Raw genomic sequence first — 26,827 nt, forward strand, 5'->3', positions numbered from 1 at the left:
CCCAGTAAATAGAAAACACCTAAAACTGGTGGTCAGCAGCTTCCCAATATGATCTCAGGAGGTGAGTGAGTGGGCTCAAGCACGCACACTAAGAGGCAAAATGGCGGAGTTTAACTGGTCTACAACCTTCTAGGAACACTTCACTTGTAAGGGAAGAACACCTCAAGTGAGCATGCGTACAACACCAGTAAACACACTGCGCATGCTGCCCTCCCGAGTGCTGGCAGGCCACTGTGCATGCAGACAGCCCACCCCAAAGGAAGACTCAGCGGAGAAGGGACACAAGACTCCAGTCTAAAAGTCAACGCATAAAACCCCAAGTCTAAAGGTCAAACCATGCACTTGACTCTGAAGTTGCCCACTTGACCCTCTTCCAAGTATACTTTCCTTTCTTTCGATCGTGTTATAAAGCTTTCTGATAAACTTTCACTCCTGCTCTCAAACTTGCCTCAATCTCTCCTTCTGCCTTATGCCCTTCAGTCAAATTCTTTCTCCTGAGGAGGCAGGAATTGAGGTTGCTGCAGCCCGGTATGGCTTCACCCGCGGTAACACCACCACTCCAGTGCTTCCCAGGTGCCTGCTCTCCGCAACTCTCTGGATGGCTGGGAAGCGGGGCACCCAGGAAAGCAAGCAGTTCCAAGAGGAGGAAGGGTCCCTGCTGGGCGGGTGTACACAGGTGGGCTCCTGGCGCCCACCTGCTGCCTGAGTCTCAGCCTCAGAGGAGCTCAGAGGATAGATGAGATGCACCCACTGCTGGGAACTGGGAGAAACGCAATCCCAAAGACAGGAGCAGTAGACGGGATCCCATTTCCTTCAGGGTTTGACCTGGATACCACAAAGCGCTCCAAAAAATGTCACGGCGAATAAAGGGTGTCCATAGTAAACTGCTGATGAAGCCACAAGGAAACCACTGCCCATCCTGGGCCTTCTTCCTGGCTCCAGGTCCCAGCAGGATGTCAGCCACCAGCCATGGAGGGATGGGTGTAGTATCTCTGAGACTGTGTGGTTTTAGTTTTCTGTTTCAATTGTTGCAAGATGCATGTAACCTACAATTTACCATTTTAGCCACTTTGTGCAATTTGATGGCATTTAGTGCATTCGCAACAGTGAATTCGTGTTTGGTGCACAACAGTGTTGTGCCATGATCATGCCAATCAACGATCAAACACTTTTTTTTTTTTTTTTTTTTTTGAGACAGGGTCTCACTCTGTCACCCAGGCTGGAGTGCAGTGGCACCATCTCGGCTCACTGCAACCTCCGCCTCCCAGGTTCAAGTGATTCTTGTGCCTCAGCCTCCCAAGTAGCTGGGATTACAGGTGCCCGCCACCACATTCGGCTAATTTTTGTATTTTTAGTAGAGATGGGGTTTCACCATGTTGACCAGGCTGGTTTTGAACTCCTGGCCTCAAGTGATCCGCCCACCTCAGCCTCCCAAAGTGCTGGGATTAAAGGCGTGAGTCACCATGCCTAATCAAACACTTTTATTACTTACAAAGAAATTTCACCCAATAGTTATCAGCCCCTCACCCTGCAATCCTCTCCCCACCTGAAGCTTCCAGCAAATACCACTCTGCTATCTGTCTCTCTGCCTATTCTGGGCCTTTCATATAAATAGAATCATACAATATGAGACCTTTGTGTCTGTCTTTTTAAACTTAGCATCATGTTTCCAAGTTCATTCATGTTGCAGCATGTGTGAGAGCTCCAGTCTTTTTTATTGTTCAATCATAGTCTGTCGTATGTGTGAGCTACATTTATGTAACTGCATTCGTGCTCCAGTGAATGTTTAAGTTGTTTCTACTTTTTGGCTCTTGTGCACGAAGCTGCTCTTCATTTATTTATTTGTTCATTTGTTTTGAGACAGGGTCTTGCTCTGTCACCCAGGCTGGAGTGTAGTGGCATGATCTCGGCTCACTGCAATCGCTGCCTCCCTGGCTCAAGCAATTCTTTCATCTCAGCCTCCCGAGTAGCTGTGACTACAGGCGTGCACCAGCCTCGGCTAATTTTTGTATATTTTGTACAGACTGGGTTTCACCATGTTGACCAGGCTAGTCTCAAATTCCTAGGCTCAAGTGATCCGCTCACCTTGGCCTCCCAAATTGCTGGGATTACAGGCGTGAGTCACACTGCCCGACCCATGGTGCTGCTATGAATATGGTGTGTACATATCTGTTGGAGTCTCAATTATTTTTTAAATTCTTTTCATTTTTAGCGATGGGGGTCTCGGTGTGTTGATCGGCAGGCTGGTCTCGAGCTCCTGGTCTGAAGTGACCCTCCCATCTTGGCCTCCCAAAGTGTTAGGATTACAGGCGTGAGCCATTATGCCCAGCCCCCCGCCCCCTTTTTTTTTTTTTTTTTTTTTTTGAGATGGAATCTCACTCTGTCGCCCAGGCTGGAGTGCAGTGGCACGGTCTCACCTCACTATAACCTTTGCCTCCCAGATTCAAGCGATTCTCATGCCTCAGCCTCCTGAGTAACTGGGATTACAGGTTTAGATTTAGTAGAGACAGGATTTCACCATGTTGGCCAGGCTGGTCTTGAACACTCTTGACCTCAGGTGATCTGCACGTCTCTGCCTCCCAAAGTGCTGGGATTACAGATGTGAGCCACTGTGTCTGGCCTCCGATTCTTTTCTGTATTTACCCAGGAGTGGAATTGCTGGTCATGCGGTTGAGACTGTTTCATGTTGGCTGTGCATCAGCTTTCAACCTCCATCCCATCCTGGAATAGAGGTACTGGTGGTTTCATAATTATATCTGACCTGTATCAGACCCACTTTTGTTTTTTTGGCTGATTGGTACTCTTTTTTATATGTCTTTCGTCACATTTTCTTGACACATATCTGGGAATGCTTGACTGTGTGGGGTTGGTTGTGTGGAGTGCTCAAAGTGAGAAGAAAGAAGGAAGGAAGGAACGGAAGATGGGAGGGAGGAAAGATAAAAGGAAGCAAGAGAAAGGAAGAGGGGAAGGAGAAGGAGGAGAAGAGGAAGAGGAAGATGAGGGAGAAGGAGATGAAGGAGGAGGAGGAAAAGGAGGAGGAGGAGGAGAAAAAGAAAAAATTGGAGGGAGAAGGAGGAGAAAGAGAAGGAACAATAGGAGGAGAAGGAGGAGGAGGAATAGAAAGAGGAGGAGAAAAAGAAAGAAAAGTTGGAGGGAGGAGGTGAAAGAGGAGAGAGGAAGAAGGAGCTGGAGGAGGAGGGGAGGAGGAGGAAGGAAGGGTATTCCCACCCTGAGAACTCTTTTACATTATCCACACAGATTTCTGTGCAGTTATATGATTAATTCAAGGCTCTAATATAATGTAGCAAAAAAAAATCAACAAAATAGAAGGTACTCCTGGACACACTTAAGTTTCACAGGTTGGTGTGGGTTCGTGTCTTCTCAGCAGCATGTGAAGGTGTTAGATGGTTTTTTAAAAAGGAGGAAGAGGAGGAGAATGAGGACGAGGAGGAAGAGAGTGGGGAGGTCTTGCAGCCCAAGAGATGTCTGACATGACCTGGAAGTTACCGCTGCGCCTGCACCATGGGAAGACTGTTCTGGGTCATCGTTTACCCATTGTTTAGACTTTGATGGCTGTCTATGGAGGTGTCTCCAAGTTCGGGTAGGGGGGCCTGGCTCTCAGGTCAGGAGGACTCTGGACTAAGTCTTGAATGTTTCCAGGTGCACCCCATACAAAGGGTCTGTCTCAGGACTCCTACAGCTGAGGGAATTTACAAATTCTTCTTCCCATCTTGGTCTGCTCTGTCTATCCCCCTCACCTGGATGTGTTCCTATACCCATACCCGGTGGCTGTGGTCCAATTTTATTCTAAAAGTTTTCACTAGGAACACATGCTCCAACCCTCATCCAAGGCTAGAATCTTCCCAGCAGTTTCCCAGGGCACCTGCTCTGAGATTTTACCTCTTGGGGAGAGAAAGGATGAGATTCTAGAGTGTGTGTTTTATTTATTTAATTTTTTTTCTAAAGTGAATTGGAAAACAAAAGAATGAACCTCCTCAAACTTCAGTATGGCATGGAGTTGGACTATGACAAGAGAAGCCAGTGGAAGTATAGAGACATCTTGGACTTAAGAAATGCTGTGTACCTATGGTTTGACAGAGAGTAGTGGATTCCCTGACATTAGCCTGTGTGACCTGAAATAAAGCTGCAGGTGTCCCATGGCTGAGTAGGATGCGGGACGTCTTAGTGGGGGCCACTGAAGGAAATTCTTAGGTGACAGAGAGTCAGATAGTGGCAGATCAGAAGATTTGGATAGAACCAGGAAACAGACACGTTAAAAAAAATTGCAGTAAGAATATCTAACATGAGATTTATCCTCTCAAGTTTTTAAGTATGCAATACAGTATTATTATTACTTGTTAACTCTTTAAAACATTTGAATAGTTTTTGGGGAACAGGTGGTGTTTGGTTACACGTATAAGTTCTTTAGTGGTGATTTCTGAGATTTTGGTGCACCGTCATCTGAGCAGTATACACTGTACCCAGTGTGTCCCCTTTGATCCCCCACCCCCCTCCCACCCTTCCCCCTGAGTCCCAGAGTCCATTATGCCATTCCTATGCCTTTGCATCCTCATAGCTTAGCTTCTGCTTATAAGTGAGAGCATACGATGTTTGGTTTTCCATCCCTGAATGACTTCACTTAGAATAATGGTCTCCAATTCCATCCAGCTTGCTGCAATTGCCATTATTTCATTCCTTTTTATGGCTGAGTAGTACAGAATACAGTATTATTAACTACAGGCGCAGTGTTGTAGACAGCAGATCAGAACTTATTCGTCTTGTATAACTGAAGCTTTATACCCACAGAACAACTCCCTACTGCCCCTCCTCGGAGCACCTGGCAACCACCATTCATCCTCTGCTTCTATGAGTTTCATGAGTTTATACTCTGCATATAAGTGAGACATGGCAGTATTTGTCTTTCTGTGCCTGGCAGATTCTGCTTAGCATAATGTCCTCCAGGTTCATCTGTGTTGTTGCCAATGATTGGTTGCCTTTCTTTCTTAAAGCTGAATAGGATTCCACTGTATATATGCATGACATTTTCTTTACGCATTCATCCATCCACGGACACTTAGATGGTTTCCATGCCCAGGCTATAGTGAATGATGCTGCAGTGAACATGGGGGTGCAGATGTCTATTTGAGATCTTGATTTTATTTCATTTGGACAAATACGAGTAGGCTTGCTGGGTCACAGTAGATTTATTTTTAATTTTTTGAGGAACAGAAAATGGGCATTTTTTAAAACCACATCTGGAAGAGGGGAGGAGCCACAGAGTTCATTTCCAACACCTTCCTGTATGTTCTTTTCCGGTAGTTGTGCATAGTGTATCATACATAAGTTAGCTGCTTTGCAAACAGTGTGTAGTTCAATCTTCCCTTACCTTTGGAAACAACCTGGTCTCAAAAAGCTTATCTGTGTTGTCTCTGAAATAACCTTTGGGTGCAGTCTGTACAGTTAAACCATGTGAATTCAGTAACTTGCAGCTAATGCTTTTGCTATCCTTATAAAATGAGGAGACAGACGCTTGATCCTGACCTAGCTCTTGATATGGTTTGGCTCTGTGTTCTCACCCAAATCTCCTGTTGAATTGTAATTCCGAATGGTGGGAGGTGATTGGATCATGGGGGCGGATTTCCTCCTTGATGTTCTTGTAGTGAGTGAGTTCTCACAAGATCTGGTTGTTTAAAAATGTGTGACACTTCCCCCTTTGTGCACTCTCGCTCTCTCCTGCTGGGCATGTGAAGATTGTGCCTGCTTCCCCTTCGCCTTCCACCATGATTGTAAGTTTTCTGAGGCCTCCCCACCCATGCCTCCTGTACAGCCTGTGAAGCTGTGAGCCAATTAAACCTCTTTTCTCCATAAATTACTCAGTTTCACGTATGTCTTCATAGCAGTGTGAGAATGGACGTATACAGCTCTATTGAGTCCAAGAGTCCCAACTTCAGGCATTCCTGTCTGGGGACAAACACTCACCATATTAGTCTGCTAGGTCCCACAGTCCTCAGAAATTTATTTTCTCACAGTTCTGCAGGCCGGAAGTCCAAGAACAGGATGCTGTTAAGATTGGGGTCTAGTGAGGACTCTTTTCCTGGCTGGCAGATGGCCACCTTCTCACTGTATCCTCACATGGCCTTTCCTTTGTCCTAAAGCAGAAAGGCGGTGGTGGAGATGGAAAGAGAGAGAAAGAGAGAGAATGAGGGAACTGTGGTTGTCCAGGGTTGGCAGAAGAAGGAATGGGGAATTGTTTAGTGGGTACAGAGTTTCAGTTATGCAAGACATATAAGCTCTGATCTACTGTACAGAATCATGCCTATAGTTAACAATACTCTATTATGTACTTAAGTATTTAAGAGGGTAAATCTCATATTAAGGGTTCTTATCACAATGAGAGAGAGAGAGAGAGATCTGTCTTCATCTTCTTATGAGGACACAAGTCCTATAGGATGAGGGCCCCACTCTTATGAGCTCATTGAGTCTTTATTATCTGCTGATAGACTCTATCTCCAAATACAGCCACATTAGGGTTAGGGTTTCCCCATATGAATTTTGAAGGGACATGGTTCAGTCTGTAACACCTACTCCAGCCTGGAGCAATGTGCTCTCTTTCCTTTGGCTGATGGTCTTGATGGAGTAGGAAGAACTTCATCGTCATCCTATACAGCACCTGCAGATGCTGGGACTTCTCTAGTGGGATGCAGCTTGTTTCCAAAGTAAGTAAGTGGAAGTCGGGGCACAGTGGCTCATGCCCATAACCTTAGCTCTCTGGGAGGCTGAGGGCAGAGGATTCCTTGAGCCCAGGAGTTTGAGACCAGTTTGGACAACATAGTGAGACCCTGTCTTTACCAAAAATTTGAAATTAGCCAGGTATGGTGGTGCATGCCTGTGGTCCCAGCTACTTGGGAGGCTGGGAGGTGGGAGGATTACTTGTGACTGGGTGTTTGAGGCTGCAGTGAGTTATGATCATGCCACTGCACTCCAGCCTGGGCAACAGACGGAGACCCTGCCCCCAATCCCGCCCCCACCAAAAAAAAGTAAGTGAAAACTGGCTGGGCACGGTGGCTCATGCCTGTAATCCCAGCACTTTGGGAGGCCGAGGCGGGCGGATCACGAGGTCAGGAGATCGAGACCATCCTGGCTAACACGGTGAAACCCCGTCTCTACTAAAAATCCAAAAAAATTAGCCGGGCGTGGTGATGGGCGCCTGTAGTCCCAGCTACTCGGGAAGCTGAGGCAGGTGAATGGCCTGAACCCGGGAGGCGGAGCTTGCAGTGAGCTGAGATAGCACCACTGCACTCCAGCCTGGGCAACAGAGCTAGACTTCGTCTTAAAAAAAAAAAAAAAAAAAAAGTAAGTGAAAACTTCAGGAATGTGCTGGGACAGGTTTGAAAACTCATGGTTTTCTCCCCTGGTCACCCAGCACTGGAAGCTCTATATGCTTGAGGTACTTTCAGGTGTTTCTGACCACATGATAAGTAGAATTATCTTTTCACACCATTGATTGTTACTTCTAGCTGGGATATAATTGGTGTGCCACTTACCTGCACTTTTTTCATGATGAGGCCAATGTTATTATCTTATAAATAAGTATGGATCTTAATTGACAAACTTTCTGCTAATTCTATATTACCCTTCCCTTCTACGTCCATCAGGTTTCTATGTTGTCTTCTAGGAAACCCACGAAAGATTGTAAAGTCAATAAGATTTAAACATCTTTCAAATTCCCAATGGCCAGACAGAAATATTTGTTTGCAAAAATTTCCCCAAAGAGGTGCACAGATAAATCTTTTAAGATGAAGCCATGCGAAAATATAAAGGAAGGGCTGGGCGCGGTGGCTCAGGCCTGTCATCCCAGCACTTTGAGAGGCCAAGGTGGGCGCATCACTTGAGGTCAGGAGCTTGAGACCAGCCTGGCCAACATGGTGAAACCCCATCTCTACTAAAAATACAAAAATTAGCCGGGTGTGGTGGCACATGCCTGTAATCCCATCTACTTGGGAGGCTGAAGCAGGAGAATTGCTTGAACCCAGGAGGCGGCGGTTGCAGTGAGCTGAGATTGCACCACTGCACTCCAGACTGGGAAACAGAGTGAGACTCTGTCTCAAAAAAGAAAAAAATATAAAGGAAGACTGGTATCTGTTTGTCTGTTGAGTGTTGGACAATGTGGGGATGGGGAGGACAGGATTGTCTCTGCTCTTAACTTTCTTTTTAAATTAAACTTTTTTTGGAGATGAGGTCTTGCTCTGTTGCCCAGGCTGGAGTGCAGTTGTGCAATCGTGGTTCACTGCAGCCTTGGCTGCCTGGGCTGAAGCGATCCTCCCAGCTTAGCCTCCTGAGTTCCTGGGACCACAGGTGTGCTCCACCATACCCACTTAGTTTTTTATTTTTTGTAAGGTTGGGGTCGTGCTGTGTTGCCCCACTTGTCTTGAGCCCCTGGGCTCTAGTGATCCTTTTACCTTGGCCTCCCAAAATGCTGGGATTACATGCATGAGCCACTGTGCCTGGCCCTGGCTCTTAACTTTTGGGGTAACTGAAGTGATGCCCACCGTAGGTTTTGAGACTTAGGAGAAGACTAATTTTTTCTCTATGGAGAGGAAATTTATAGAACATAAAACTCAACATTTTGTTATTTTTATTATTTATTTATTTTTGAGACAGAGTCTCACTCTGTTGCCCAGACTGGAGTGCAGTGGTGCAATCTCAGCTCACTGCAACCTCTGCCTCCTGGGTTCAAGCAATTCTCCTGCCTCAGCTTCCCAAGTACCTGGAATTACAGGCGCCCACCACCATGTCCGGCTAGTTTTTGTATTTTCAGTAGAGACGGGGTTTCACCACGTTGGTCAAGCTGGTCTCGAACTCCTGACCTCAGGTGATCCACCCACCTTGGACTCCCAAGGTGCTGGGATTACAGGCGAGAGCCGCTGCACCTGGCAAAATTCACCATTTTAAAGTGTACAGCTCAGTGAGATTTAGTATGTTCACAACCACGTCTCTATCTAGTTCCAGAACATTTTCATATTTCCAAAACGGGACCCTGTACCCACTAGCAGTCACTTCCCATTCCGCCTCCCCAGCCTCTAATGGCCATGTATTTTCCGTCTCTGTGGATTTGCCTATTTTGGACACTTTATATAAATGGCATCATATAGCACGTGGTCTTTTGTGTCTGACTCGTTTCGCTGAGTGTGCTGTTATTCAGGTGCACCCACACTGTAACCTGTTTCCGAGCCGCATTCCTCTCTAGGGTTGCATCATGTTCCCTTGTGTGGATGGACCACGTTGTGTTTTTCTTCATCCACTGATGGTCATTTGGGTTGATTCCACTTGAGATGTTTTTTAACCTACGACTCAGGACACCTGGACTAGATTATTCATGATTTCTTCCAGATCTGCGATCTTAGATTTAAATAAATAGCAGTGTGCCATTTGGGTCACAGATGTTAGTTCTGTGTGAAACAGATCTATAGATAGGAAGAAGAAGTTTAACGAAGAGAAGATACAGACGGGCTGTGAAAAGTACCTGGGAAGAAATTGAAACTGCAACAGGGAAATGATGATAAAGTTTTTGGTGTGCAATGGATTATAAAAGGCGCTATACAACGGAGAGAATGTGTCCTTATTGTGTTCAGAGGATGAGAAGGTACGCAGGTGTGAGTCTGGCCTTGAATCTTCAACCCACTACTTCATCATTATTTTATTAAAACAAAACTTCGATGCATTTCAAATCATTGTCTTTTCCACATTAGGTAAAATTACATGCTATTTTTCATTTGAAGTATTTTTGGTTTTTGGTGGAGTAATGCTCTTATGGGTCTTTCTAATTTTATTTATTTATTTATTTGTTTATTTATTTATTTATTTATTTATGACAGGGTCTCTCTGTGTCACCCAGGCTGGAGTGCAGTGGCACGGTCTCAAGTAGCTGGGATGAAAAGCACACACCACCATGTCCAGCTAATTTTTTATTTTTATTTTTACTTTTTGAGATAGAGTCTCACTCTGTTGCCCAGGCTGGAGTACAGTGCTGCAATCTTGGCTCACTGCAACCTCCACTTCTCGGGGTCAAGAGATTCTCCTCGTTCAGCCACCTGAGTAGCTGGGATTATAGGCATGTACCACCAAGTTAGGCTAATTTTTGTATTTTTCATAGAGACAGGGTTTTACCATGTTAGCCAGGTTGGTCTCGAACTCCTGGCTTCAAGTGATCTGCCCACCTCGGCCTCCCAGAGTGCTGGAATTACAGGCATGAGCCACTGTGCCTGGCCAATTTTTTAAAAATTTAAGTTAAATTAAAATTATTTAATTTTTAATTTTTTACATGTTTATTTTAGACTCAGGGCTACATGTGCAGGTTTCTGACCTGGGTATATTGCATGATGCTGAGGTTTGGGCTCCTAATGGACCTGTCACCCAGGTAGTGAGCCTAGTACCTGGTAAGTACCTTTCCATCCGCTGTCCCCCTTCCTTCCTCTCCCGTCTAGCAGTCCCCAGAGTCTATTGTTCCCATCTTTATGTCCATGGGTACTCAATGTTTAGCTCCCACTTGTAAATGAGAAGATGTGCTATTTGACTTTCTGTTCCTGCCTTAATTTCCTTAGGATGATGGCCTCCAGCTCCATCCATGTTACTGCAAAGGACATGATTTTGTTCTTTTTATGGCTGTGTAGTATTCCTTGGTGTAGAGGTACCATATTTTCTTTATCCAGTCTGCCATGGATGGGCACCTGGATTGATTCCATGTCTTTGCTATTGTGAATAGTGCTGTGATGAACATATGTGTCCGTGTGTGTTTTTGGTAGAATGATTTATTTTCCTTTGGGTAGAAACTATTTTTTTAACAACTTTATTGAGATATAGCTTACATATGATATCATTTACCCACTTAATGCATGCAATTCAGTGTTTCGTAGTATATTCAGAGTTGTGCAACCATCACCACTATCAGTTTTAGAGCATTTGATTTTTTTTTTTTTTTTTTTTTTTTTTTGAGACAGAGTCTCGCTCTGTTGCCAGGCTGGACCGCAGTGGCGTGATATCAGCTCACTGCAGTCTCTGCCTCCAGGGTTCCAGCGATTCTCCTGCCTCAGTCTCCTGGGTAGCTGAGATTAAGGCACGCGTCACCACACCCAGCTAATTTTTGTATTTTTAGTAGAGACAGTATTTCACCATGTTGCCCAGGCTGGTCTCGAACTCCCGATCTCAGGTGATCACCTGCCTAGGCCTCCCGAAGTGCTGGGATTACAGGCGTGAGCCACCGCTCCCAGCCGAGCATTTGATTTCTTTGGTAAGACACTTTGTACCCTTTAGCTATAACCACCTTAACACCCCCTGCCCCCATCCCTAAGCAACCACAAATCTACTTTCCATCTTTATAGACTTCCTTGTTTTGAATTATCCTTTACATGGGATCATACAGAACACAGCGTTTTATGACTGGCTTCCATCACTTAGCAAATTGCCTTCAAGGTTCACTCATGTGGTGGCCTGTGTCAGAGCTTCAGTCCTTTTTAGGGCTGAAGAATATTCCATGATATGGATGGACCACATTTAGTTTACACATTCATTTGCTGACAGGCCATTTGAGGTTGTTACCACCTTTAGGCTACCATGAATAATGCTGCTGTGAATGTGTGTTTGAGAGTTTACGTGAGCAGACGTGAGCACATGTTTTCATTTCTCTTGGAGATATACTTCGGAGTGGAAACCCACCATGTTTTAGCTGTGAAATATTAGACTTGTCTTAATGTCTCCAAACTTTTGTTTCCACATTTATAAAATACAGTAGTACTTTCCTGGTAGGATTTGGGTGGCAATTATATGATTGTAGTTTGCAAAGAAGTTAAGAAGTGGATGGCACATCATGAGTGCTTCAACAATCACAGCTATGGCTATTATTTGTAAAAATAAATTTGCAGAAAGAGAAAGCCTGTATAGTGAAGGGGCTAGATAAATGTTTGAAAGCACAGAAGAGTTTACCATGGATTCACATTCCTTTGTTGAGGGTTGAATCATATGCCCAACTAACATATGTTGAAAGCTGAACCCCCAGTACCTGTGAATGGGGCCTTATTTGGAAATCCGGTCTTCACAGATGTACTGAAGGATGTGTGTGAAGTAAGTGATGCAGATGTAGGTTAAGGATCTCAAGATGAGCTCATCCTGGATTAGGGTGGGCCCTGAGTCCCCTGACAAGTATCCTTTTAAGAGACAGAAGAGGAGACAGGCACAGAGAAGGAGGCCACATAAGAAGGCAGGGACTGGAGTGATGTGGCAGCAAGCCCAGGGACACCGGGAGCCCCCAGGAGCTGGAGAGGCAGGAAGGATCCTCCACCTGAGGATCCTAACCCCTTTAAATTCACAGAACCTGTGAATGGGATCTGATTTGGAAATAGAGTCTTTACAGATACTATTCGTTAAGGATTCCAAAAGGAGCTTATCCTGGGTTAGGGAGAGTCCTGCATCCAATGACAGGTGTCCTTCTAACAGATGAAAGAGGAGACACAGACACAGAGGAGAAGGCCACGTACAGATGGAGGCAGAGACTGGAGCGATGCGGTCATAAGCCCAGGGATGCCTGGAGTCCCCAGGAGCTGGGAGAGGCAGGAAGGAACCTCCCCTGGAGCCTCCCCTAGAGCCTCCCCCAGAGCCTCCCCCAGAGCCTCCCCTAGAGCCTCCCCCAGAGCCTCCCCTAGAGTTTCCCCCAGAGCCTCCCCTAGAGCCTCCCCTAGAGCCTCCCCCAGAGCCTCCCCTAGAGCTTCCCCCAGACCCTCCCCTAGAGCTTCCCCCAAAGCCTCCCCTAGAGCCTCCCCTAGAGCCTCCCCCAGAGCCTCCCCCAGAGACTCCTGTACAGCCTCCCCTAGAGCCTCCCCCAGAGCCTCCCCTAGAGCCTCCCCTAGAGCCTTCGGAGGGAGCGCAGCCCCGACATTCCTTGATTTCAGACTCCTGGCCTCCAGGACCAGGAGACAATCAATTCCGGTTGTTTTAAGCTACTCAGGTTGTGGTACTGTATTACGGCAGCCTCAGGAAAGTCACTTGGGGTAAACACATTTGACACCCAAGAAGTGCTTCCTGCTGGGCGCAGTGGCTCACACCCATAATTCCAGCACTTTGGGAAGCTGAAGTGGGAGGATTTCTTTAGCCCAGGAGTTTGAGACCATCCTGGGCAACAGAGCGAGACCCCGTCTCTACAAAAAATAAAAAAATTAGCTGGGGCTGGGCGCAGTGGCTTACGCCTGTAATCCCAGCACTTTGGGAGACCGAAGTGGGCAGATCACCTGAGGTCAGGAGTTCGAGACCAGCCTGGACAACATGGTGAAACCCCATCTCTACTAAAAATACTAAAAGTAGCCGGGTGTGGTGGTACACGCCTGTAATCCCAGCTACTCAGAAGGCTGAAGTGGGAGAATCGCTTCAACCCAGGAGGTGAAGGTTGCAGTGAGCCGAGATCGCGCCACTGCACTCCACATTCCAGCCTGAGCGACAGAAGGAGACTCTGTCTCAAGTAAATAAATAAATAAGAAAAATTATCTGGGGCTGGGTGCAGTGTCTCACACCTGTAATCCCAGCACTTTGGGAGGCCGAGGTGGATGGATCACTTGAGGCCAGCCTGGCCTGGAGTTCGAGACCAGCCTGGCCAATATGGCGAAACCCCGTCTCTACTAATAATACAAAAACTAGTTGGGTGTGGTAGTGCACACCTGTAATCCGAGCTACTTGGGAGACTGAGGCAGGAGAATCTCTTGAGCCCCGGAGGCGGAGGTTGCAATGAGCCAAGATTGCACCACTGCGCTCTAGCCTGGGCGACAAGAGCAAAACTCTGTCTTAAAAAAAATAATAAAAAAAAAAAGATAAAAGGTCTGGCCCAGATAGAATTCATGGAGTGTTTCCTTCCTTCCTCCTTTACAAAAAGAACATCAAAACAGTAGCAAGATGACACCAATGTTTCCTATCCTCTGGGGTACCCCATTGGAGCTCTGACTTAGTTCATTTGGACTGCTATGACAAAATACCATACAGTGAATGGCTTTTAACCCATTTCCCGTTTAGAAAAAAAAAAAAAAAGGTACAGCTTGCTGCCTGCACTCATTTAATTTTACATAAACACGCTCGCTCTTTGAGGCTGAAGAAAATCTAATTGATTTTCAATGTGAAAATAAAATGCAAAAATTGTTCTTAGAGTTATTTCTAAACAGAACTTGTGTCTAATCCTAATGTAAAATCATATACATTTCTGTTGCATTGGGATTAGAGACAAGAGTATTCTCGGGGCAAATGGGAAAGGGGTTAAACAAAAGACATTTACTGCTCACAGCTCTGGAGTCCAGGATCAAGGTGTGGCAGATTCATTGTCTGGTGAGGGCTTCCTGGTTCATAGACTTGGCACCTTCTCGCCGTGTCCTCACATGGTGGAAAGGGTGAGAGAGCTCTCTGAGGTCCCTTTTATAAGGGCACTAGTGCCATTCATGAGGCTCCTGACTTCATCACGTTCCAAAGGCCTCACCTCCTAACACCATCACCTGGGGGGTTCAATTTTGATTTGGGGGTAACATAAATCCTGTCTGTAGCAAGCTCTATCAATGCAAGTCATTGTTAGACTACAGATTTCATCAAAATCACTTTGCCCCAATGTTGTACAACTAAGGGAATATTCTTCTTCTCAAAAAAGCATTTTTTTTTTTGGTCTCCCTAAAATGGTAACTACTGGTCTGAAAATACTCTTGGTCGACTCATGGATCATGAGTTTTTGGGAAGTGGGCAAGCTACAAAATACAAATCACTAAGTACCAGAAGCAAAGCCTGAACTTTATCATTTTTAGCTGCCTTTTCACATGGGAGACTGTTGTACATCATTTGCAGGCATGAGTTTTGCATGAAACTGTGAACCCAACTGCCTACTTAAAAGTAAGATTTGTTAAAGGATACAAAGTTACAGGTAGAGAGTGGGAATAAGTTCTAGTGTTCTATAGCACTGTAGGATGACTCTAGGCAACAATAATATACAGTTTCAAGTAGCCGAGAGGATATTAAATGTTGCCAACACAAAGAAATGGTACAGGTGTGAGATGATGAATATGCCAATTATCCTGCTGTGACCACTATACATTATATATATTGAAATATCACTGTGTATCCCAGGAATATGGACAGTTATTATATGTCAATGGAAACAACAAAATTCTTAAAAAAGGATTTGGCAGGATGGATTTTTATTTATTTATTTATTGAGATGGAGTCTCACTCTGTCACCAAGGCTGGAGTGCAGTGGCACCATCTCGGCTCACTGCAACCTCCACCTCCCAGGTTCAAGCAATTCTCCTGCCTCAGCCTCCCAAGTAGCTGGGATTACAGGCACGTGCCACCACATCTGGATGATTTTTGTATTTTTAGTAGAGATGAGGTTTCACCATGTTGGCCAGACTGGTCTCAAACCCCTGACCTCAGATGATCCACCCACCTCGGCCTCCCAAAGTGCCGGGATTACAGGTGTGAGCCACCATGCCCGGCCTCTTTTTATATTTTTGAAAATTGACAAAAATTGCATATATTTATGATGTGCAATATGATGTTTTGAAATACGTGCACATTGCAGAGTGGCTAAATTGAACTAATTAACATATGTATCACCTTATATATTTATCTTTTATGTGTGTGATGAGAATATTTAAAATCTGCTGTCAGTGATTTTCAAGTATGCAATACATTGTTGTGAACTATAGTCCCCATGTTATACGATGGATCCCTTGAACTTATTCCTCCTAACTCAAATTTTATTTGTCTTTGAAATAAAAGTGTTGGTTGGGTGTGGTGGCTCATGCCTGTAATCCCAACACTTTGGGAGGCTGAGGCAGGCGGATCACCTGAGGTCAGGGGTTCGAGACCAGCCAACATGGTGAAACCCCATCTCTACTAAAAATACAAAAATTAGCCAGGCGCGATGGCATGTGCCTTAATCCCAGCTACTTGAGAGGCTTAGGCAGGAGAATCGCTTGGACCTGGGAGGTGGAGGTTACAGTGAGCCAAGATCACGCCACTGCACTCCAGCCTGGACGACAGAGTGAGACTCCATCTCAAAAAAAAAAAAAAAAAAAAAAAAAGAAAGAAAAAAAACAGTGTCTCCCGTGTTAAACATGGATCAAGTTTCCTTGGCTTTTTTCCTAACGTAATTCTAATTGTCTTTTTTCTGCAAAAAGCAGAGAAAGAAAATGAGGCTGAATGCGGTAGCTCATGCCTGTAATCCCAGGACTTTGAGAAGCTGATGCAGGAGGAGCGCTTGAGCCCAGGAGTTTGATACCAGCCTAGGCAACACAGCGAGACTCCGTGTCTACAAAAAATAAAAAATTAGCCGAGTGTGTTTGCACACACCTATAGTCTCAGATACTTGGGAGGCTGAGGTGAGGCAATTGCTTGAGCCCAGGAGTTTGAGACCAGACTGGGTAACACATTGAAACCCCATGTCTACAGAAAATTTTAAAAAATAGCTGCATGTGGTGGCACATGCCTGTAGTCTCAGCTACTCAGGAGGCTGAGGAGTTCAGGACCAGCCTGGGCAACATTGTGAGACCCCCATCTCTACAAAATATTAAAAATTAGCTGAGCGTGGTGGCACGCACCTGTAGCCCCAGCTATTAGAGAGGCTGAGGCAGGTGAATTGCTTGAGCTCAGGAGTTTGAGGCTGCAGTGAGCTGCGATTGCACCACTGCACCCCAACCTGGATGACAGAGCCAGAACCTGTCTCTGTGTCTGTCTCTCCCTTTTTTTTTTCTTACACCAACTTCGGTACATTCTCAAACCTTTTAATCGTTCACCCTTGAAGTACTGGTTTGTCATGTTCTGAAGCTCCCTGTAATGGGATGGGTTTCTGATCACCCTTGGGCTGTATTGGGCTGGCATCATTTAAATATCCGGGCATTTAGATTGGTTCCTGATAGGGAAACTTCATGTTTATTTCACATGTAGGCTAATTGTTTGGTCTGCCTGCGAGTCCTGAGGAATTATTAAGGAAAACCACACCTGTTTCTGCTTTCTCATCCTGAGGAATTATTAAGGAAAACCACACCTGTTTCTGTTTTCTCATCCTGAGGAATTATTAAGGAAAACCACACCTGTTTCTGCTTTCTCATCCTGAGGCATTATTAAGGAAAACCACACCTGTTTCTGCTTTCTCACTCGCAGTGAGAGAGTTCCTGGGAGAGATGCAGTACCCGGAGGGTTCATTATCAGCCCCAGCCGCTGATGCGCTATCAGCCTGCGGAGGAGGGAGCCCTGGGGCTTCACTAACCACGGGCTGGAGCTGCCACGCACCAGCTCCAGTGAGATCGGGGTTTTCGTTTTCATCCAACACTTTCAACCCAGTTTCTGATGAAAGGGCTTCTTCCAGTCACCAGAGAAAGTGAGTTTGTATGTTTTTCCTCCAGAGCATTGCTGCGTGGTTCACAAATAGGGCTGCTTATGACAAAATATTAACTTTGGCAGTTTTGGAGAAAAAGGACAAATAATGCATTCCTGGGAGAGGTGTGCAGCACATGGGCTGCGATGGGTCACAGGGACAGGTGCCTGGAAACCAGGGGTCAAAGATGAGCCTCTGAAACGGCTCTCTTTCTAGTCTGCATGCCCTTCACTGCTCTTCCTTTATAAAGATAACAAGTCTCTATATGTCGTTTTAGAAATTGTGGCAAACACTGTGTGTCGTTTTAGAAATTGTGGCAAACGCTGTGTGTCGTTTTAGAAATTGTGGCAAATGCTGTGTGTCGTTTTAGAAATTGTGGCAAACACTGTGTATCGTTTTAGAAATTGTGGCTCACGCCTGTAATCTCAACACTTTGGGAGGCTAAGGTGGGAAGATTGAGCCCAGGAGTTCAAGACCTGCCTGGCCCACATAGAAAGACACCATCTCAAAAAAAAATTGTGTGGCAAAGTATACATAAGACAAAACTGACCATTTTAGCTATTTTCAAGTGTACAGTTGAGTGGCATTAAGTGCACTCATATTGTGCATCTGTCACCACCATCCACCTCTGGAAATTCATCTTCCCACCTGAAACTCTGTCCCCTAGTAACCACCATTCTACTTTCTGACTCCATGAATTTGCCTACTCTAGAGGTACTGATATACGTGAAATCATACAATATATGTCCTTTAGAGTGTATTTCTTTTTTTAAAAAAATGTCAACTTTTATTATAGATTCAGGGGGCACATGTGTGGGTTTGTTACATGGATATAATGCGTGATGCTGAGGTCTGGTGTATGAACGATTCTGAAGCAGGTTGTTCATCTAGGGTGATACCTGAGGTTTGTTGTCTCCGGCTGAGGAAATCAAGGATGTGGACATACAAGAAGTGAGGTTAAGGGCGGAGGTTTAATAGGTGAAGGAACAAGAAGAGCTCTCTCCTGCAGAGAGGAGGTTCCGAGTGGGTTTTCTGGTCTGCAGCAAAATGCAATGGGTTTTATAGATGAGCTTGATGAGGTGGTGTCTGATTTACATAGGGTGCAAGAGATTGGTTGGACCAGGTGTGTCATTTGCATAGGGCACAAAAAAACTGGTTAGGGCTAGGCATGCCATTTGCATAGGGCACCAAAACCTGGCCACCTTCACCCTAATCTTTTATTATGCAGATGGATTCTCTACCTGGTTGGCACTATGTTGCCTGTTCCTTTAAGGTACACGGTGACAAAAGGGAAGATGGAGCCTCCATGTTGAACGTGCCTGGCTCCAAGGTAGCCCTTTTCTATTGGCACAGCTGCCGGTATTCACCTGTGCAAGCTTCCAGCTTGCTTATCTATGTCTGCAGCATGATTTTTCAGGCTGCTCTTTGTTAGAAATGATTTTGGAGCTGCTTTTTGTTAAAAGAGAAATTCCGCCGAGGACTCTTTTACCCTCACTATCTGCCTGAGTAATTTCTTTCTAGCTCCTGTATGAATCCCATCATTCAGGTAGTGAGCATAGTACCCAGGAGGCACTTTCCCAGCCCTGTCGCCTTCCCCTCCTCTCCCGTCTAGTAGTCCCCAGTGTCTGTGGTTCCCATCTTTATGTCCATGAGTACCCAATGTTTACTTCCCACTTTATAAGTGAGAATATGCCCCATATTTGGTTCCTGAATTAATTTGCTTAGAATAATGGCCTCCAGCTGCATCTTTGTTGCTACGAAGGACATGATTTTATTCTTTCTTATGGCTGTGTAGTAGTCCATGGTGTATATGTACCACATTTTCCTTATCCACTCCACATGGATGGGCACCGGGGTTGATTCCGTGTCTTTGCTATTGTGAATAGAGCTGCAATGAACATGTGCGTGCAGGTGTCTTTATGTTAGAAGAATGTATTTGTCCTTGGGTATATAAACAGTAATGGGATTGCTGGGTCGAATGCTAGTTCTGAGTTCCTTGAGAACTCTCCAAACTGCTTTTCACTGCAGCGGAGTTAATTTACATCTGTCAGGCCTCTGAGCCCAAGCTAAGCCATCATATCCCCCGTGACCTGCACTTATACATCCAGATGGCCTGAAGTAACTGAAGAATCACAAAAGAAGTGAAAATGTTCCTGCCTTAACTGATGACATTACCTTGTGAAATTCCTTCTCCTGTCTCATCCTGGCTCAAAAGATCCCCCACTGAGCACCTTGTGACCCCCACCCCTGCCAGCCAGAGAACAACCCCCTTTGACTGTAATTTTCCACTACCTACCCAAATCCTATAAAACGGCCCCACCCCTGTCTCCCTTTGCTGACTCTTTTCAGACTCAGCCTGCCTGCACCCAGGTGATTAAAAAGCTTTACTGCTCACACAAAGCCTGTTTGGTGGTCTCTTCACATGGACGTGTGTGAAAACATTCCCATCAGGAGTGTATTTCTGTGTTTAGCATCCATGCTTTGAGTTTGCCAGAAGATGTTGGATTTGATTGTACCCTGGGAGTAGTGGCGCATGTGTCTCATTCTTCCACTTTCAAGTTGTTCATTGGAGCTGGAGTTTTACACTAGGCAGTGATGACTGAGGACCCCCAGATGAATCTTGGAATTTGATCTCAGAATGTGGCAGAGGCTACATCCCCATGACCCAGCAGGAAGAACATGCCTCCTGCATCCCACGGCTGAGGAGAAAGTGGCTTTTACAGATAGTTACAGGCACCAATGGTTCTACTTCCCTGAAAAGCTGTGTATTTTTTCCATGTGGTTCTGAAGTATAGTTGCTGGAGGATTTGCGTAGACCGAAATGTAGGCTTGGTGCAAACATAATTGCAGTTTTTGCCATTAAAAGTAATGGCCAGACTGGGCGCAGTGGCTCATGCCTGTAATCTCAGAGATTTGGGAAGCCAAGGTGGGCGGATCACTTGGGGTCAGGAGTTCGAGACCAGCCTGGTCAACATGGTGAAACCTCATCTGTACTAAAAATACAAAAAATAGCTGGGCACGGTGGTGCGTGCCTGTGGTGCCAGCTACTTGGGGGGCCGAGGCATGAGAATCGCTTGAGCCCAGGAGGCAGAGGCTGCAGTGAGCCGAAATTATGGCACTGCACTCCAGCCTGGGCAACAGAGCGGGACTCCATTTTACACACACACACACACACACACACACAAAACCGCAATCACTTTTGCACCAACCTAGTATAATTGGGGAATTCCTGGTTACTTTTTTATTCCACGAAAAAGCCTGTTCCCACTGGGGCAATGTGCCAGAGGAAGGGCAGGTTAGAACTGTAAAGCTTCAAGAAGACCCCCTATATCCTGTGAGTGTCCTTGGTATTCATTCTGCAGGCCATTATCAGTCTTGAGGGGGCTGCTACAACATTCTATGGAATGAGAGAGCATTGCTGTGTCAGGAAGTACATACTATTTTTTTCTGCCTCTTTCTCTACCTTAAAAGGATATGCTCAGAATGAGTTGAAATATGGCCATTTTTTCCCCTGAAATCGAGAGCCAGTTGTTGACTTGGAATCATTCAATGTCTCCATTTGTTTTGGGTTAGATTGTTTGAATGGAGGATTCTACTACCAAACACTCATAAGATGGCTTTGAGCAGAAACAAGGCTGATCAGCCGGTATGTACACAATTCTTGGCTTTACAATATTTCTTGGGACATTCTTGGGCTTAAAATATGGCCACACCTCTGCAGTGGTAGGTCAAACAGCCTCTGTCCCAGACCTAAGCTCTCTGGATGCCACACCCCAGACTGGGACTCCCAATCTCATGGTTCACGCTGGCAATGCCTGACCCAGGACATTATCTTGCCATTGAGACCAGGGTCCTTCTCCTTGGACAGTTCCTGTAACTGTTATTGAGTATTTTGAACAGCATTGAATATTTTGTTGAATACTGAATATTTATTGAATATATTGAATATCTTGAATAACAGTCCAAGCAGAAATAAGTATCGGGACACTTTGTTCTCGTTGACAGTCTCAGGTTTCAGTTCTGGCCATATGAGTCTTGGGTGGTTCATTATTGTGAAGACTCCACAAAGTAAGATGGGTGTATGGTGAAGAATAATCAAAGGTAAATAAAGGCACCATCTCGAAGTGGACTTGCCATGTTGCATGGAAGCATGAATGTGTTGAGTCTTTTGTTGTTGAAAATGGTTCTAGGCTGGGCACAGTGGCTCACGCCTATAATCCCAGCACTCTGGGAGGCTGAATGTGTTGAGTCTTCTGTTGTTGAAAATGGTTCTAGGCTGGGCACAGGGGCTCACGCCTATGATCCCAGCACTTTGGGAGGCCGAATGTGTTGACTCTTTTGTTGTTGAAAATGGTTCTAGGCTGGGCACAGTGGCTCACGCCTATAATCCCAGCACTTTGGGAGGCCAAGGTGGGTGGATCACCTAAGGTCAGGAGTTCGAGACCAGCCTGGCCAACATGGCAAAACTGCATCTCTACTAAAAATACAAAAATTAGCTGGGCATTGTGGTGGGCGCCTGTAATCCCAGCTACTGAGGACGCTGAGGCAGGGAGAATGGCTTGAACCTGGGAGGCGGAGGTTGGGCAGCAGAGCCTCGGGAGGGGAGGAGGGGAGGCGAGAGGGGGAGGGGAGAGGGGAGGAGAGTTCTAGCATCCCCAAGTCTGCCCTTGAGAATGTGGTTTGAGAAGGGAGGTGGATTCTTTCAGTGGTGTTCACAGAGCAATTGAAACTTTAGATTTCTCAGAGTGAGCTAGTTTACTAAAGCCTACATATCTGAAAACATAAACACTTCTTCATTAAGGGTGCCCTTTAAGCCAGAAACAAACTCAACCACCAACCACCAAACCCACAAATGAGACAAAACCAAACCAAACCAAAAATCCAACAAATAAACAAACAAAAAACTTTCCCTGAGACAAACCACAGAACTTTATTTTGGGAAAAGAAAACATTTTTTTGTTGGTCAAACTATCAGCTCCTATGAAATACTCTTAGAGATGTTTATCCTGAGCTAGTTTTTTTTGTGGGGAGGTGCTGTTTACATGCTATGTTAAAAATAACACGCAAAAATTCACGAGACATTGATGATGATGATGGTTATACAAATAACGAGAATAATGATATTGGCATACATCATGTGAGTGGAAAAAAAAAGTTGATGGTGGTGATGACAATACGATCGAAACTGCTTTTGCTCCGTGGAAAGCCCTTTGAGATGGGGACCTGGCTGTGCAGTTTGCGGTGTATTTGCCTAAAACGCCATCTGGCTGCTACGTAGAGGAAGAACACTGTTTGCTTTTCTGGCCTTTGTTTTCATAATTCTTCAATTTCTCTTTATGCTCCTAAAAATTCTACATAATCCCATTTCGAACATTGCATTCATTCTCTTTTTTTTTCTCTTAGAAAACAATAAGGGTTTTCATTAAGAAGTAAGTCATAAGACTGCAAGAGAACAAATAAAACTCTTAAGAGGTCTCCCTCCCTCCCTCTCTCTCTGCAGGCTGGGGGTGGAGGATTCAAACGAAATTTTGCTTGAGAAAGTAGCCTGCTCGCTTCAGAAAATTGAATATTTTATTCAAAAAAGGTTAATTTTGCAGAACCAATTTGGCACACCTTTACATCATTCACACTACCTTCCCTGCCCCGTTATTTAGAGAACTCTAAGAAACATAATCTATACATGCACACAAAGTTGGGAACAGTAGATACTAGGGAATACTAGAGGGTGGAGAGATGGAGGGGCCAGGGCTGAAACACTACCTGTGGGGTGCTATGCTCAGTACCTGGGTGATGGGATCATCTGCATTCCAAACCTCAGTGTCACATGATATACCCATGAAACAAACCTGTACCTGTACCACTCAAATCTAAAATAAAAGGTAAAATTATATATAAAAAAGGAATATGATCCACAGAATGTATCAGACAAAAGGTGTTTGTTATGGTGGCTAATACACTTGGGGTTCAGAAAGTCAGTGGTGGCCACACACGGTGGCTCATGCCTGTAATACTAGTGCTTTGGGAGGCTGAGGCGGGAGGATCATGTGAAGCCAGGAGATCGAGACCTCTCTGCTACAAAAAGTAAACAAACAAAAATTGGCTGGGTGTGGTTATGCATGCTTGTGGTCCCAGCTACTTGGGAGACTGAGGTAGGAGGATCACCTGAGCCCAGGAGGTCAAGGCTACAGTGAGCTATGATTGCACCACCACACTCCAGCCCAGGCAACAGAGCAAGACCATGTCTCTTAAAATTTTTTTTTTAAAGAAAAAAAGAAAGTTGGTGGGGACGTGAATTCTAGAACTTTCTCTCCTCAAATATTTAGAACAGGTTGACATGGTACACAACGTTCTTAAAAGAGCTTAGCAAGAGGACGGAGGCTCAGCATTTGAAGGAAGCTGAGTGAGACAGATTAACTAATAAACAAGTCAAGTCACCAGTTAAGAATTGGTCCAGGCATAGTTGCTCATGCCTATAGTACCAGCACTTTGGGAGGCCAAGGCAGGAGGATCACGGGAGCTCAGGAGTTTAAGACCAGCCTGAGCACCATAGGAAGTCTTCATTTCTACAAATAATTAGCCCGGAATGGTGGCACAAACCTGTGGCCCCACCTACTCGGGGGGCTGAGGCGGGAGGATCGCTTGAGCCTGGGAAGTGCAGTGGCGTGATCATAGCTCACTGCAGCCTCCACTTCCCAGGCTGAAGCGATCCTCCCTGTGTCCTCACATGGTCATCCCTCTGTGTGTGGCTGTATCCTTTTATTTTCTTGAAGACAGGGTCTCGCTCTGGCCCAGCAAAGAGTGCAGTGGTGCGATCATAGCTCACTGCATCCTGGACCTCCTGGGCTCAAGCGATCCTCCTACCTCAGCCTCCTGAGTGGCTGGGACCACAGGCGTACACCACTACACCTAGCTAATATATATATGTTTTCTAGATACAGAGTCTCCTTATGTTGCCCAGGCTGGTCTCAAATTCCTGGCCTCAAGCAATCCTCCCGTCTCAGTCTCCCAAGTAGTCGGGTCTACCAGCACGCACCACCATGCCCAGGTAATTTTAAAACTTTTTGCGGCTGGGTGCGGTGGCTCATGCCTGTAATCCCAGAACTTTGGGAGGCCGAGGCAGGCAGATCACTGAGGTCAGGAGTTAAAGACCAGCCTGGCCAACATGGTGAAACCCCGTCTCTGCTATATATACAAAAATTAACCAGGCGTGGTAGAGGGCGCCTGTAGTCCCAGGTACTCGGGAGGCTGAGGCAGGAGAATCGCTTGAACCCGGGAGGCAGAGGTTGCAGTGAGCCGAGATTGTGCCACTGCACTCCAGCCTGGGTGATAGAGGGAGACTCCGTCTCAAAAAAAAAAAAAAAGAAAAAAAAAATCAAAAACTTTGTAGAGACAGTCTTGCTATGTTGCCCAGGCTGGTCTCGAACTCTTGGCCTCAATGTATCCTCTCGCCTGGGCCTCCCAAAGTGCTGGGATTACAGCACTTGGCTCCAGCTTGACCTTTGTTGGTAGAACTACTCAGAAAATATGACCGATTTAGAAATTGGGTGGTGCCAAGTAAACCCCACCCAAACCTATCCCCGCACCAGTTCTCATCTACCTTTTTCGCGTGTTGGGGAACTAGCAAGGCAGGGGCTGCCGCTCGCGGGGGCTTGGCCTCCCTCACGCAGCTCAGCCTCTGAGCGCAAGGCACAGGGCTCTCGCGCTACGGCCGCCACCCGCCCCGAGGCCCCGGTCCCCTCCCCTCACCGCCGCACCAGGACAGCGCGGCCAAGAGCCGGGCCTTTCGGGGGCTGGTGCGGACGTGGCCAGAGATGCCCGAGGAGAAGCAAGAGACCATGGGTATGCGGCGGTCACGGGCCTCTCCGGCCCGGGAGACGGACGTTATGGCTGGCAGCGTCTCGATACCAAATGTTTCCAGACCATATGCTTGCCGCTTCCCGCACTTGGAAAGACCAATCGTTAGGCCCGAGGATGCAAGACCCACCCACTTTGCGATGGAGGCAGCCAATCCAGTTGCTCGTTACTTCCAGTGTCGCAGGCGCCCTTACGAAAGATCCTGTCCAATCGCTACCGGGAACGTCCTCCTAGTCCCGCCTCAGGGCCATCGCAGAGGCTGTCAATGCCGTCTGACCCCTTTACCCCATTGGCGTACTTCCTTCCGACACCATGACATGCACAGCACCAGGCCGGGGCGGGTCAATGGCGGTGGCGGAAACGGCGGGCCACTGCGCGGGAACGGGTTACGCGGCTGACGTCCGCCGCAGCAGCCGCTGGGTCCTGGAGGCAGAAGCCTCCCTGAGAAGCGCACAATAGGCAGGGCGCGGTGGCTCACGCCTGTAATCCCAGCACTTTGGGAGGCTCAGGCGGGCGGATCACAAGGTCAGGAGATCGAGACCATCCTGGCTAACACGGTGAAACCCCGTCTCTACTAAAACTACAAAAAATTAGCCGGGCATGGTGGCGGGCGCCTATGGTCCCAGCTACTCGGGAGGTTGAGGCAGGAGAATGGCATGAACCCGGGAGGCAGAGCTTGCAGTGAGCCGAGATCGCGCCACTGCACTCCAGCCTGGGCGACAGAGCAAGACTCCGTCTCCAAAAAAAAAGAGAGAAGCGCACAATGGACCAAGGGCTCTTGCCGGAGAGGCGCCGCCGCCGAACCCGCAGCCAGACGCCCCTCAGTAGCGCCCGCAGCGGGTGCCGCGGCTCTCGCCTAAACCATGGGCGCACCCGAGGGGCGGGCTCGCCTCCCGTCGGCCCTCACAGCTCGGCTGGGCTCGGAGTCCGCTCCGCCGTCGCCTTCCCGCTGGGGCCGGGAAACGCAGCCGCGGAGCCGCACAGCCCTTGCAGCCGGATGAGAGGCCCCGCTGGCCTCAGGACGGTGGTCGGGGCGGCGGGCGGGGGCATTCGTGCAGCCTTGTGGCCTGCAGGCGCTCCCCGTCGGCAAAGCTGCGCCGCAGGCCTCGGGGCGGGCCTAGGGGCCAATAGGGGGCTCCGGGGTGGGCCTGGAGGCCTGAGGCCACCGGGGGTCCCCGGGCAGGTGATGGGGGCTTGCGGAGCGGGGGCGCCGACCTCTGACCCACGAGAGGGGCGCCTTCGCGGTGCTGGTCGTAGTTATTCTCAGCGTCCCTATTATCCGATTTGAAATGAGAGCAGGCGGCTCTCGGGCTCCGAGCCGGAGGGGGCGGGCGAACTGGGAGCAATGTGTACATTCCACGCCTAGAACCCTGCCGCTGGGCAAATGGAGGCCCGTGTCCCTGCGGTCGCTGCCTGGGAGGGCGCACGAGGTCCCCCAGGCGAGGTGACCCACAGGAGGTTTTGTGACATTGGGCGGCCCAGTCCTGGGGGTGGTGTGTGCTAGTGGTGGAGGGCGGCCTCCTAGAGGAGCCGTCAGCCTTCCAGGGAAGGCACCTGGCCGGTCGGGGAGACTCCCCGGGGCTG

General features: G+C 47.0%; 5 annotated features.

The window, feature by feature from the left end:
• Positions 22,164 to 22,233: a silencer, noted in NCBI's record as "silent region_20643". NCBI's record gives its function as "represses an Ori minimal core promoter by ATAC-STARR-seq in GM12878 lymphoblastoid cells {active_cell/tissue: GM12878}" and the evidence as "EXISTENCE:reporter gene assay evidence [ECO:0000049][PMID:35858748]".
• Positions 25,019 to 25,188: a silencer, noted in NCBI's record as "silent region_20644". NCBI's record gives its function as "represses an Ori minimal core promoter by ATAC-STARR-seq in GM12878 lymphoblastoid cells {active_cell/tissue: GM12878}" and the evidence as "EXISTENCE:reporter gene assay evidence [ECO:0000049][PMID:35858748]".
• Positions 25,369 to 25,418: an enhancer, noted in NCBI's record as "active region_29377". NCBI's record gives its function as "activates an Ori minimal core promoter by ATAC-STARR-seq in GM12878 lymphoblastoid cells {active_cell/tissue: GM12878}" and the evidence as "EXISTENCE:reporter gene assay evidence [ECO:0000049][PMID:35858748]".
• Positions 25,619 to 25,698: a silencer, noted in NCBI's record as "silent region_20645". NCBI's record gives its function as "represses an Ori minimal core promoter by ATAC-STARR-seq in GM12878 lymphoblastoid cells {active_cell/tissue: GM12878}" and the evidence as "EXISTENCE:reporter gene assay evidence [ECO:0000049][PMID:35858748]".
• Positions 26,059 to 26,538: a silencer, noted in NCBI's record as "silent region_20646". NCBI's record gives its function as "represses an Ori minimal core promoter by ATAC-STARR-seq in GM12878 lymphoblastoid cells {active_cell/tissue: GM12878}" and the evidence as "EXISTENCE:reporter gene assay evidence [ECO:0000049][PMID:35858748]".

Source organism: Homo sapiens, chromosome X (genome assembly GCF_000001405.40).
Source record: "Homo sapiens chromosome X, GRCh38.p14 Primary Assembly".
In the NCBI taxonomy this organism is placed as follows: Eukaryota; Metazoa; Chordata; class Mammalia; order Primates; family Hominidae; genus Homo; species Homo sapiens.